A 13,926-nucleotide genomic window follows, 5' to 3' on the forward strand; every position below is an offset into this window, starting at 1 on the left:
ATGATAGATATATTCCATCTGGGATTGTGTAATGTAAGTGCTAAAAAAAGACTTTAAACAAAGGATGTATAGCATAAGGAAAATTCTAATAAATGTGTTAAATTGCCTCAACAAACTCAAGGAGTGAAGAAGAAAGAAAAGAGAACAATGAGTGACTTGACTAGAGCTACAATTTAGAAAATTAATCTACCTGGTGGAATAAAAAACCAAGAGTCAGAGATTCCTTTTAATTTTGAGTTTTTGTGTTTGTAAGAATACTTTGCATATTACAGAAATCAATACTTTTTAGAATCATCTGTTACATTTTTTTCTGATCATATCATTTTCCCATTGATTTAGCTTTTTAAATACAGAGAAATCTTAACTTTCAATACTGATATATTTCCATCTCTTCTGTCATAACTTCTGAGTTTTTAAACTAGATGAAGAAGGTCTACCCAGCCCCAAGATTGTAAAAATAGTCTCCAAAATTTACCGGCAAGATTCTCACTTTTTAAAAATTTTGATACTTACGTCTTTAATCAATCAAGAATTTATTTTCAACCTGGTAACTATAAGGGTCGAATTTTATTTACGTATGTCTAGTAATGCTCACATTACCCTCAGATTAAGTAGAAAACAGTGGCCTTGCATTTTTACTCTCTACTCCTTCCCTTAAAGTTTCTTAAATCAAACTTAGCTCCACACGTTTCTATATATGCTTGGCTTGTCTAGACCTATATCTCTGTTCACTTCTTTCCCTCTACCTCATTTTCAGTCTAGGTCTTACGTACCTATAACAGATCCTCCCACTGGTTGTTACTGAGTAGCTCCTCCTTTCTTAAAACAGAAGACTGTCTGGACAAGGCAGTAATGTGACACCGTTTTCTCTAATAAGAGTGAGTGAAAATCCACTGCATGGCGTTTCTGAGAAGGCAAATGTTTTCAACATAAATCTTTGCCTCTCCTCTTTCTCATTGTCCCTCTTTGGAATGTTGTTTCAATGCTTGGAGGTACAGTTCTTTAAGACAACAATTTGCCATTTAGCAAATATTTGAATGGGTACTTATATCAGGCAACTTTATAGCTAATTCTGCTACAGACATATTTATTATATATCTAACTTGAGTACTGATTTTGCCTACAAATGATAAGAATTTGGTAGAAAATAAGGTGGAGAGAAGGCTAATAATAATTTATGACATCTTTTCAAACTGGGATCCATAGTCATATATCATTTTTCCCTCAATTCTAAGTAGTTTAAAATATTTTAGCACTAAAACAAATAAGCATTATGGCACAGAATCAAAATATACACAAGTTTTCAAGACAATGTAAGACTAGAAAAAATGTAGAGCTGAGGTAGCCACTAAAGCACTTAGGTGTAAAATTACCCACTTCTGCCATTAGAGGCAAAAAGTAGGATAGGTACAGAGTCAGAGGAAAAATAGAAGTTGTTGGCTTCAATCCCTTCTCATATGCATTATTTTCTTTTTGTATATTTGCTTACTCAGGACTTTTATTTTTACATACAGGGCTTTAAGTCAGCATCCAACTGTCAGTGATGACCTGCCAAATCACATAATTTCTGGAAAAGTCCAAGTAAAGCCCAGCGTGAAGGAGTTCACAGAAACAGATGCCATTTTTGAAGACAGCACTGTAGAGGAGAATATTGATGTTGTCATCTTTGCTACAGGATACAGTTTTTCTTTTTCTTTCCTTGATGGTCTGATCAAGGTTACTAACAATGAAGTATCTCTGTATAAGCTTATGTTCCCTCCTGACCTGGAGAAGCCAACCTTGGCTGTCATCGGTCTTATCCAACCACTGGGCATCATCTTACCTATTGCAGAGCTCCAATCTCGTTGGGCTACACGAGTGTTCAAAGGTATGTGAATAAATGTTGGATAAAGGCCTAATATTTCACCTAAAGTTAATACTCTGTTTTTTCTTAACACTAGTTCTCTCTTTTCAGCAAAATGCACCCCTCTTATTCCTAGGAATCCTGACAAACTCTGAATTTTCTCTTCTAGGGCTGATCAAATTACCCTCAGCGGAGAACATGATGGCAGATATTGCCCAGAGGAAAAGGGCTATGGAAAAACGGTAAATTAATAATTAGTAGCAACTAGTTGGAGACCTTCATAGGGATCACAAAATTTTAAATCTTAAATTCTAAATATATGCTTCATCTCATTGAATTATGCAGGCATTTTTCTCCATTTCCTACACTATATTGTTATACAACACCAAAACAAGTATGAATCTTAGTTCCCTAACTCAGTTTTGCAACAAATAGTCATATATTTATTCTCTTTAAGTCATACTAAATTTGAATTTAAGCCCTCTATATCAATTTCAGTCATTATGAATATTTCTCCCAGGATCTCATTATGAATATTTCTTCCCAGGAACTCAAGAAGCTTATGTGATTTCCCAAAATGTGAGAATAGTTTCTGATTTTCACCACATCGTGTTCTTTACTGACATCCTTGTTGCCTAAGTTTAAAGTATACCCTTCATGTCTGGAGGCTTTTGGCTTCCCTATCACAAGTAGAGTGCAGGAATCCTTACTGAGAATGGGGGCTCCAGCTAAGATGGGCTTGGAGCTCAGCCTCCCTAGGAACCCACACAGCTACTCTCTCTGACATCTTGCCCTAGATTCCTAGACTTTTTCAGACCAGTTTTCAATTTCCTGCTGTGTGAAATCTCTCCCTTTCCTCTCTTGTTAACTTAAAATACATTTATATTATTCTTTTCCATGAGCCCAGAATTTAAGAAATAACAAACTAGAAGGGGAGTTGTCTTGCAAATAAGGTACTTCTTTGGTCATGTAACAAAAAATATCTCTGAAACAAGGCAACAGGAAAGGCTTGGCCACTTTTGCAGAGAGCAGAAGAAAGGAATATAGATAGAAAAGATACAAATTCATATCTTAATAAATAACCTTGCCACATTATTTCAGCATTCTAAAGACTTTATGTGTGTGTGTGTCCATACAAAGATATGAAATTCATTCCCATTAACTGCCCCCACACACAGACACTTTACAGTTTTACAAACTTTGCAACACAGAGAAAACCATTCGTTGAAAAGGCCTTCAAGTGTTGCACTCATCAATACTTGGAAGAAGAAGTGAATTCATTAAAATGTATTTTGTGCCTATTGTATTAGTCATATTGCTAAGCATTTCCAATAGGATTATGTACAATGTAAATGGAGAGCAATTTAAATGGCAACACTGCTGCTTCTTCTTATGTAACAGTACCTGAAAAATTGTGAGGGCTACAAACTCCATGTTATGGGGAAGGTCCTACAACATGAACAAAAGTTCAATACATGCAGTAGAGGTGCCAGCTCCCACACATCTCTAAGATGACACTTTGTGCATTCCTGCATCAGAAAGACATGCTACCCTTGCCCTGTGTTGTACAGCAGGTGTGCACAGGGCTGCTGCTATCTCATAAAATAAGTTTTTGCAAATTAGAAAAAGGGCAGCCCTTCCTCAGGACACTTTACTTCCAAATGCTGGAAGTCAAATTCTCATTATAAACATCAAATCTACAATATCTACAATGCAAATGGGGCCTCTAAGGTTACGCAGCCCCATTGCATCATGCAATGTATGCTCAGAGTTGAAGCATCTGGGGCAAGGGAGAGCTACCCAAGAAGCTGCCATTCTCAGCAGTGCTGCAGAGTCACCTTGCTCTGCAAAGGAGACTACGTTCCCCACATTCTTATTCCCATTGTGGTCATCAAACTCCTGGAGCCAGGTTATCAATGACTGCTGATCATCTATCCCCTGGTTAACTACAAAGACACACGGAGGGTAAAAGTTAAAAATTTTCCATCCTGCCAACATAGTATACACAGAAGTATTTTACTGGATGACAATTCTTCATTTTAAAAAATGGACATCTTAAAGGATAGGGATCCCTTCAAACATCATCAGTTCAGTCACCATGAAGGGACAGTGAGCATGGAAACTTGGATTGTGAGTCTGCCCTGCCATTCAATGATTGAGTGATGCTGGGTTTGTCAATTCAGCTTTCTGGTTCTCAGTTTCTTCACCTCTAAAGTGAGTAGAAGGAGTTTAAACTTTTTGTGATTCTTGGATGATATAAATCTCTGTCCAGGGACTGTGAGTCTTCTACATTCTTCCCTTTTGTTTCAGATATGTAAAGACACCCCGCCACACAATCCAAGTGGATCACATTGAGTACATGGATGAGATTGCCATGCCAGCAGGGGTGAAACCCAACCTGCTCTTCCTCTTTCTCTCAGATCCAAAGCTGGCCATGGAGGTTTTCTTTGGCCCCTGCACCCCATACCAGTACCACCTCCATGGGCCCGAGAAATGGGATGGGGCCCGGAGAGCTAACCTGACCCAGAGAGAGAGGATCATCAAGCCCCTGAGGACTCGCATTACTAGTGAGGACAGCCACCCATCCTAACAGCTCTCTTGGATAAAGATGGCCCCAGTGAGCCTGGCATTTCTGGCTGCTGGCTTGGCATACTTTCGATATACTCCTTACGGTAAATGGAAATAAATGAAAGAACACTGAGGGGGAAAAGCATGGAATAGTTTCTACTCATCCTGATCGTTATATCTTTTAAAGTCAATAGCATATGTCCAATATTATTTAGTACTACTATAACTGCCATAAGGAAATGTTTAGATAGACTTTACAAGTAGATTTATTATTTTTAAAATGGGTATAATTATATATATTCATAATGTTATGAATGCACAAGAAAATCTTATTTTAAAAAAATCCTGTTTAAGCCTTAAAAATGATGCTGCAACACAGAGTATACTTAAATTGTTTTCATTAAGCTGAATTCTTCTTGTAGAAATTTACCCATGGTGAAACCCTGTCTCTACTAAAACTACAAAAAATTATCTGGGTGTGGTGCTGGACACGTGTAATTCCAGCTACTTGGGAGGCTGAGGCAGGAGAACGGCTTGAACTTGGGAGGCAGAGGTTGCAGTGAGCTGAGGTAGTGCCAGTGCACTCCAGCCTGGGCGACACAGTGAGACCCTGTTATCAATAATAATAATAATAATAAAATAAATAAAAATAAATTTACACATAAAGTTTTGCTTTTTCACTGATTTTATTTTTAACCTTAACCTTCCTTTCGGGAGATTCTATAAAGTTCTCACTCAGAAACGAAAGTTCATTTTACAGCATAGAAGTTGAGAAACACACATTTAAATGTTTTAGGTTTTAATTTACTAGAAACAAATAAAAATGCTTTTCTTTTCTTTTCAATTCATTCACAAATTATTCTTTTGAAGAAACAACTAAAGAAAAAAGTGCAATATATTTCAGAAGTTTTAATGATTTAATTATTCTAAACTTTTAATATTTAGCACAAAGCAGTCACTATATTCTATTAAGCTAAAGCTATGTGGATATCTAAGTAACAAACTCAACGGCATGCTGGCTGACATGGTAACTTTGCCTGGCTTTTGAGGTGATCCTGTCCCTATGTAGAAGAGGTGACTTCCACACTGTTGTGATTTCGAGGATGCCAGAAGAATTCTCTGCCCCAAATGCCTTCTCCCCCGACTGACTATGTGAAATCCTCCAAAGACTCAGCCTATTATTCAAGAAAGGGGTGTTCTTCCTGTCCCCCAGTTAAAATCAAAACCACCATGGAATGAGAGTGTGAAAACTGAGTAGGGTGAGGGATGGGAATTGAGCAGCCTGCACAGCTGTAGCATTAAGAAGAAACATTGGTAAAATATACTAAAAACATCATAAAGAGATTTAGATATTTACTAATGTCTCATAATGATAAACTGGACATTTATTACACACAGCAAAACTTTATTACACACAGTAAAAAAAAAAAGTCTCTCCACATCTCTCTCAGTAACTCAAGTAGAATGGTGGCTGCCTTATCCCACAATACATGCATGAGCACCTCAGAATGATAAGAACAACATTACTACGAACAATATAATTACTCACAACTGTTTAAACAACTAATGCTCAGAACCTGTGATTATGTTACCACCCATGGGAAAAAAAAGAGTGACTTTGAAGACGTGATTAAGATCAGGATCTTGAGATGGTGACATTATCCTGTATGACCAAGGTGGGCCCAGTGTAATCACAGGGGTTCTTAAATGGGAAAGAGGGAGGCAAGAGAGTCAAAGGAGATGTGGCAAAAGAAGCAGAGGTCCGGGGAGGCCATTGCTGCCTTTCAGGAGGCAGAGGACCATGAGTCGGGGAATGCAGGCAGCCTCTAGAAAATAGAAAAGGAAAGGATCAAATTATTCCCTACAGCTTGAACACAGCCTTGCTGACACCTTGGTTTTAGCCTAGTGAGACTACTGACCTCCAGAACAAGAGAATACATTTGTATTGTCTAAGTCACTAAATTTGTGATAATTTGTTATAGCATCAATCAGAAATTGATATACTTCCTAAGTGTAGAAAGACAGTTAAAAACTGGAACAAAAATGTTAAGACCATTGGTTTAAAAAACAATGCTTATGTTTATAATTGTTGTACTTTAGTGACCATAAAGAATGTGACTTAATCTGAAAAATAAAAAGCCTTCAAATGCCTTCGTTTTATAGTTTTTTCCTTCATGCTTTGTTAGCATGTTTTTTTACACTGGATTCTATAAGCATCATCCCACTGGTCAGTAAAGCTCAAATTAATATGGGTAAATTAATATGTGTTAAACTTTTTTCCAGACTAAAAGTAGACTAAATTTGGTATAGCAAATAATGAAGCATTTCAACATATATTATCTAGTTTAATCATATTGTAGGAGGATGAGCAATGGTTTTTTTCCCACTTTAATCTACTTTTTAATACGTGAATGAACAACCACCTTGTGGGAAAAAAGCAGAGGCTTAGAGATGGTTAGAAAATATGGCTAAAGGTGGAATCTTGGACTTTTTTTTTTTTTTTTTTGAGACGAAGTTTTGTGTTTTGCTCTTGTTGCCCATGCTGGAGTGCAATGGCGCAATCTTGGCTCACTGCAACCTCTGCCTCCTGGGTTCAAGAGATTCTCCTGCTTCAGCCTCCCAAGTAGCTGGGATTACAGGCGCCTGCCACCACGCCCAGCTAATTTTTGTATATTTAGTAGAAACGGGATTTCACCATGTTGACCATGCTGGTCTTGAACTTCTGACCTCAGATGATCCACCCACCTCAGCCTCCCAAAGTGCTGAGATTACAGGCGTGAGCCACTGCATTTGGCCCTTTCTACATACAGTCTATCACACAGTACCAGCTGCTTCACTTTACATGGGTATGTTTTGGTACTCTGCAGAAATTCATCTGCCCGCTCTCCCCTAATCTTCTAAACAGATCTGCAACTTTCAACCAAATTACAGAGTGCTTTTTTTAATTTAGAATTTTTTCATGGTAGCTTACTTTTTTATTATTGCTTTCTTTGCTGTACAATGTGGGTTTATGTAATACATAGTTCACATATTTAAAAACGAGGTATACTGAAACAATGTATCAATGCTGACTACTTTGATACATAGTACATGTTCCAAGAGCAAGGTGTAGTCAAATGCATCCTAATTCATGAATACCAATTTATTTTGTAATAATACATGTGTTTCAAGAACAAGATGCTTTCGGATGAACCCTAACTCATGAATGTTAATTGCTTTTTAATATTACAAGCCCCACAAGAACAGAGTATGCCTGGATTAGCCTCCTCTGTGAGTGAGCCTCATTCTCACACCCACTTATTTCCTAAATATTGATGATCCAAGCGTCTATCATTCCCTCCTTCCAAGGGTTATTTCATTCAGGTACAATCTTGCGCTGCAACCTAATTTCCATATCTTCATCTTTCAGTGTAGACTTCTCTCCTGAGCTACAATCTCATGTTTATTCCTGTCTTCTACAAAAGCATCTCAGACTCTCATTTTTAAAACTGAACTCATTTTATTTCCAAAGAAACTGCTCTTCTCCCACACTCCTTATCTTAGCTCATATCAAAAATCTAAAAGTCCTATTATACTCCTTTGTCTCTTGTAATGGGCTGTAAGTTTCTGATGCCTGCTGATGCTACCTTCTGCACATCTCTAAAGTCTGTCCCATCCTTTTCAAGCTCACTGCCATTGTTTGAGTTCAGCTTATGATTTCCCATCTCGACTATTGAAATAGACTCCTTATCCAAGCCCATGCCATCTGTCTAGCCTCCCTCCAATTCATCCTCCACAACAACACCGTGGTTAGATCTAGAGGGAAAATCTGATCCTCTTCCTCCTTACATCCCCTTCAGCCAGGACAGACAGTACCCTTCGAGAATTTCCCTGCACCGACACTTCCAGCCTTGCTCCCAGACACCTGGGATAAGCCTACACTCCAGGCATACCAGCTGCTTCTAAGTCCCTGAATAGGTCACGTTCATGTTGACTCCACATCTTTGTACAGACTATTCTGTTTGGAAAATCTTCTTTCTCCTTTTTCTCACTTGTAAGCTGCTATTCAGTCCTTTAAACTTGGCTAAAATTACAACTCCTTTAAGAACTGTTTTCTGGCCTTTACTTCCCTTGCCCCATTAGACAATTGATATGAAATTAAGAAAAAGTAGAAAGATAGAAAAGATTAAAAACCTAGACACTACTGTGTTTTGGGATAATGATAATGGGCTCAAAACAGTGATTCGTTGCTCTACCAGGAGAACAAATAGACATTGCATTACTTAAACCATCTGCAAATGCCCCCAAATCTCTCATTCTGTTAATGTGTCTCTGTTAGGTTTCCATCACTGTTGTAATAAATTATCACAAACCTAGTGGCCTAAGGCAACATGAATTTATTATCTTTTATTTCTGGAGGTCAGAAGTCTGAAATCAGTTTCACTGGGATAAAATTAAGATGTCAGCAGGACTACATTTTTTCTGGGAGGTTCTAGGGGAGAATCTCTTCCTTACCTTTTCCAGTTTCTGGAGACTGCTTGCATTCTTTGGCTCATAACCCTTTCTCCATGGGCAAAGCCAGCAGCATCTTTTTTTCTCTCTGACTTTTGCATTATCTTTACGTCTTCTTTCGCTAACTCTGATCCTCCTGCTTCCTTCTTATAAGGACCCATGTAATTAGATTAGACCCACCTAGATAATCCAAGATAGTCTCCCCATCTCAAGATTTTTAACCTAATCACATCCTCAGTCACTTTTGCCATATAAGGTGGTATATTCATAGGTTCTGAAGATTAGGACATGGATATCTTTTGGAGGTCATTATTCAATGGTATGAATTATATATATGTATATATAATTCACAATATAATATATAATGATGAAAGAATTATATATTGTTATAAAAATATATCACTATATTCTATATGAATCATAATTTATATGTAGAATACATGAATTCATATACATTATATGTGAATTATATATAAATATATACTTATGAATGGATTATATATACATATAATTCTTACTGTTGAATAATGGCCTCTAAATATATACATATATACATATGAGCAATTCATTTTTCCTGGTAATTAACAATTTAAAAACTGAAACAGAATGGCAACAAAGAGGAAAATATGGTAATGGCTTTGCTTAAAAATGTCTCCATAAATCACAAGCCAAATTCAGGAAAAAGATTGTACATATTTTCTGACATAGGAAAAGCAAAGGAAAGAAATGGATACTGCCATAAGCTACACTAAACATCATTTCTTAAATGCTAGCAAAACATATCTCCACAGGAACCTTGCCTCCAGAATAACTAAGCCCGGAAAAACAAAGAGAAGTTGAGGGAGCCTCGACTGCTAGCTATAGTTGCTAAATGAGGGTAGAAAACAGGGTTAGTAATGGAGAATTGGAAATACCATGAGGATTTCCTTTAGAGGCTATGATGAGAATTTGTAGATGCAAAGAAAAAAAAAACACTTTAGGTGGTGAAGGAGAATTTTAAGTAACAAAAGGGTGGCTTAACTTTATTAATACTTAATTATATTACTCCAATTCCCCTGCTTCTTTCCAGTAACAGTGTTGACCCCAGCCCCAGAATATGGTCTCCAGCTGTTTTCCCTATTCCTCTTAGATTTTGTCAAGTTAATATGCATATGCAAAATCAAAACAACTCCCCCAGTTTCCTCCTTCCCATAGCCCCTCTGCCTATTCCCCAACTCGCCTTCCTATGAGAACACCAATGCTGAGACCTTCCTGTCCTCATTTAGAGGTATCAGCTCCAGTTTACACTCATGGAATCATATCAGAAAAATTGATGGGTCACTTTTTCACAAAGAATTCTGAAGCTTTATTCAGGTATCCACATATAGAACATTAAACTCTGACCTTCTGGAGGACAAGGACTTTGTTTTATTCATTGTTTTACATCCAGCTTCTAAAACAATGACTAGTATATAGTTCTTTAATGCTCACTATCAAAATTAAGAAGACTAGATCTCAGCTGGCCTCCATCCCCGATTTGAACCTATCATTATCAAATCATCAGGAAAATAAATGACCTTTAGAACAGCACTTGTTACCCTCAGTTTCAAGGGGTGAACTCCCAAGAAAGCAGCATCAACAAGTGACATGCCATTGGGCAGTGGCATCAGGAAATTCACCAGGGAGAAAACCAGGCAGTCTGAGAAGATGTTAACAATACAAAAGCTGAGATCTAATACAGGAGGATTAAAATAATTGAATACTGGTTTTTATTCTAGTTAGGAATTATTTAAAATTTGAATAAAATGCATTAAATTATATAAAATTCATGTATTTACCATGAGAGTTAGAGTTAGAAAATGGAAATGGTATTCTGGAGCCAAGATGGCTGACTTGAAGCAGATAGTGTGTGCTGCTCTTACTGAGAGAAGAAGGAGTGGTGAGTAAAGACTGACTCTTTGACTGGAAAGTCCAGGTGGAAGCATTGGGATTCATCAAGAAATCAACTCGACTCACAGAGAACGGAGAGGAATGAGACAGGACAACTGCCTACCTGGGACTAGCACAGAGTCAGAGGAGTCCCCCCACCACTACTAAAGAGAAATGATAAGTGAGTGGGAGTTCCGGGGGACCCATACTTCTGCCATGGACCTGTGCAAACCTGGGCTCAGGAGATCCCCCCATAAGTCCACTCCACTGGGGCCTTCAGACTGACATGGAGAGCTATATGGAGTCTGGGCAGAGCCACCACTCAGGTACATGCAGAGTCCCAGCAGCCTTGGATTCCCAGGCATCCAGGCATTAGTGGCTGTAGCTCCAGCAACAGAGGAGGTCAGTCTCCCTCACATGCCCTCAGGAAAAGGGCCAAATTCAGGGCCTGAGCAACAATGGACTGCAGGCTTTGCTTCCACTGCTTCTCACAGTATAAGACCCACTGTCCTGGGGTTCCAGCCACCCCGCTACCTGGGATCCTGGGCCAGTAGCAACTCTGTACTTCCCCGGGGTGGAGCTTCCAGAGGGAGATGCGGGCCGCCATATTTGCTGCCCCATAGCCCTGGCTGCTGTTGCCCTCAGGCTCTGGATAGCATGTGGTGATTAGGGACTGGTGCAGATCCCCAGCATAATACAGCCACCTGACAGAAAAGTGGCTGGACTGTTTTCCACACGAGTCCCCCATCTTTCTTCTCTTCACTAAGTGAGACTTTCCAACCTGGGACTACAGCACAACTACCCTGCCCCAACTGGAACACTTCAGTCAGAGGTGGCTCTGCAGTTATCTGTGGAGGAAATTCCAGAGACAACTCACAACCCCTCTGCCACAGCAGCTGCAGTGGTACTGTCTTAACTGCCCTTGGGCTGGGGAAGGAACAAAGGGACTTGTTACTACTGGTTCTCCAAGCTCACTCAATCAGACAAAAATAAAGAGAAAACAATAAAGAAGAATGAACAATGGCTCTGAGACATAGAGATTATGTAAAGAGACCAAATCTATGATTCATTGGCATCCCTCAAAGAAAGGGAGAGAAAACAAGCAACTTGGAAAACATATTTTAGGATGTTGGAAAACATCCCCAACCTCCATAGAGAGGCCAACATTCAAATTGAGGAAATGCAGAGAATCTTTGCAAGATACCGCACAGGAAGACCATCTCCAAGACACATAATCATCAGGTTTTCCAAGGATGAAATGAAAGAAAAAATGTTGAAGGAAACTAGAGAGAAGGGATAGGTCATCTACGAAGGAAACCCCATCAAGCTAACAGTGGACATTTCAGCGGAAACCCAACAAACCAGAAGAGATTGGGGGCCTATATTCAGCAAATTTAAAGAAAAGAATTTCCAACGGAGAATTTCCAACCAAGAATTTCCTATTTAGTCAAACTAGGCTTCATAAGTGAAGAAGAAATAAGATCCTTCTAAGACAAGCAAATGGTAAGAGATTTCATTACCACCAGACCTGCCTCACAAGAGGCTCTGAACATGGAAGGAGAGACTGTTACTGGTACTAAAAAAAAACACACTTAAGTATGTACACCAGTGACACAATAAAGCAACCACACAAAAAAGTCTGCATAATAACCAGCTAACAACATGATGACAAAAACAAATCTGCACATATCAATACTAAACCTCAATGTAAATGGTCTAAGTGCACCAGTTAAAAGGCACAGAGTGACAAGTTGGATAAAGAATCAAGACCCAACGGTATGCTATCTTTAACAGACCCATCTCAAAGGCTGGGTCCGGTGGCTCACACCTGTAATCCCAGCATTTTTGGAGGCTAAGGCGGGTGGATTACCTGAGGTCAGGAGTTCAGGACCAGCCTGGCCAATGTGGTGAAACCCATCTCTACTAAAAAATACAAAAATTAGCCAGGCCTGGGGGTGGGCACCTGAAATCCCACCTGCTTGGGAGGCTGAGACAGGAGAATTGCTTGAACCTGGGAGGCAGAGGTTGCACTGAGCTGAGATGGTGCCATTGCACTCCAGCCTGGGTGACAAGAGCGAAATTTCATCTCAGAAATAAAAGAGACCCATCTCATATGCAATGACACCCATAGGCTCAAAGTAAAGGGATAGAGAAAAATCTACCAAGCAAATGGAAAACAGAAAAAAGCAGAGGTTGTTATTTCAATTTTAGACAAAACAGACTTTAAAACAACAAAGATCAAAAGAGACAAAGAAGGGCATTATATAATGGTAAAGGGTTCAATTCAACAAGAAGACCTGACTATTCTAAATATATATGCACCCAACATAGGAGCAACCAGATTCATAAAGCAAGTTCTTAGAGACCTATGAAGAGACTTAGATAACCACACAACAATAGTGGGAGTCTTCAACATCTCACTGACAATATTAGGCAGATCATCAAAGCAGAAAACTATCAAAGATATTCAGGACTGAACTAGACACTTGACCAAATGAACCTGATAGATATCTACTGAACTCTGCACCCAAAGACAACAGAATATACATCGTTCTCATCTGCACATGGCACACACTCTAAAATTGACCACAAAATCAGATATAAAACAATGCTCAGCAAATTAAAAGAAACTGAAATCACATCAACCACACTCTTGGAATATAGCACAATAAAAATAGAAATTGAATTTAAAAAATCACTCATAGAATTACATAGAAATTAAACAACCTGCTACTGAATGACTTTTGGGTAAATAATGAAATTAAAGCAGAACTCAAAAAATTCTTTAAAACTAATGACAGCAAAGATACAACATAGACTCCCTAGGACACAGCTAAGGCACTGTTAAGAGGAAAGTTTATAGTACTAAACACCAACATCAAAAAGTCAGAAACATCTTAAATTAACAATCTAACATTACAACTAGAGGAACTAGAAGAGGAAACTAACCCCAAAGCTAGCAGAAGACAGGAAATAACCAAAATCAATTCTAAATTGATGGAAATTAAGATGCAAAAAAAAAAAACCATAAAAAAGGTCAGTGAATCCAGGAGTTGGTTTTTGAAAAAATTAATAAGACAGACAGACCATTATCTAGATGAATGAAGAAAAAAAGA

This window comes from Homo sapiens, chromosome 1, assembly GCF_000001405.40.
Source record: "Homo sapiens chromosome 1, GRCh38.p14 Primary Assembly".
Lineage (NCBI taxonomy): Eukaryota > Metazoa > Chordata > Mammalia > Primates > Hominidae > Homo > Homo sapiens.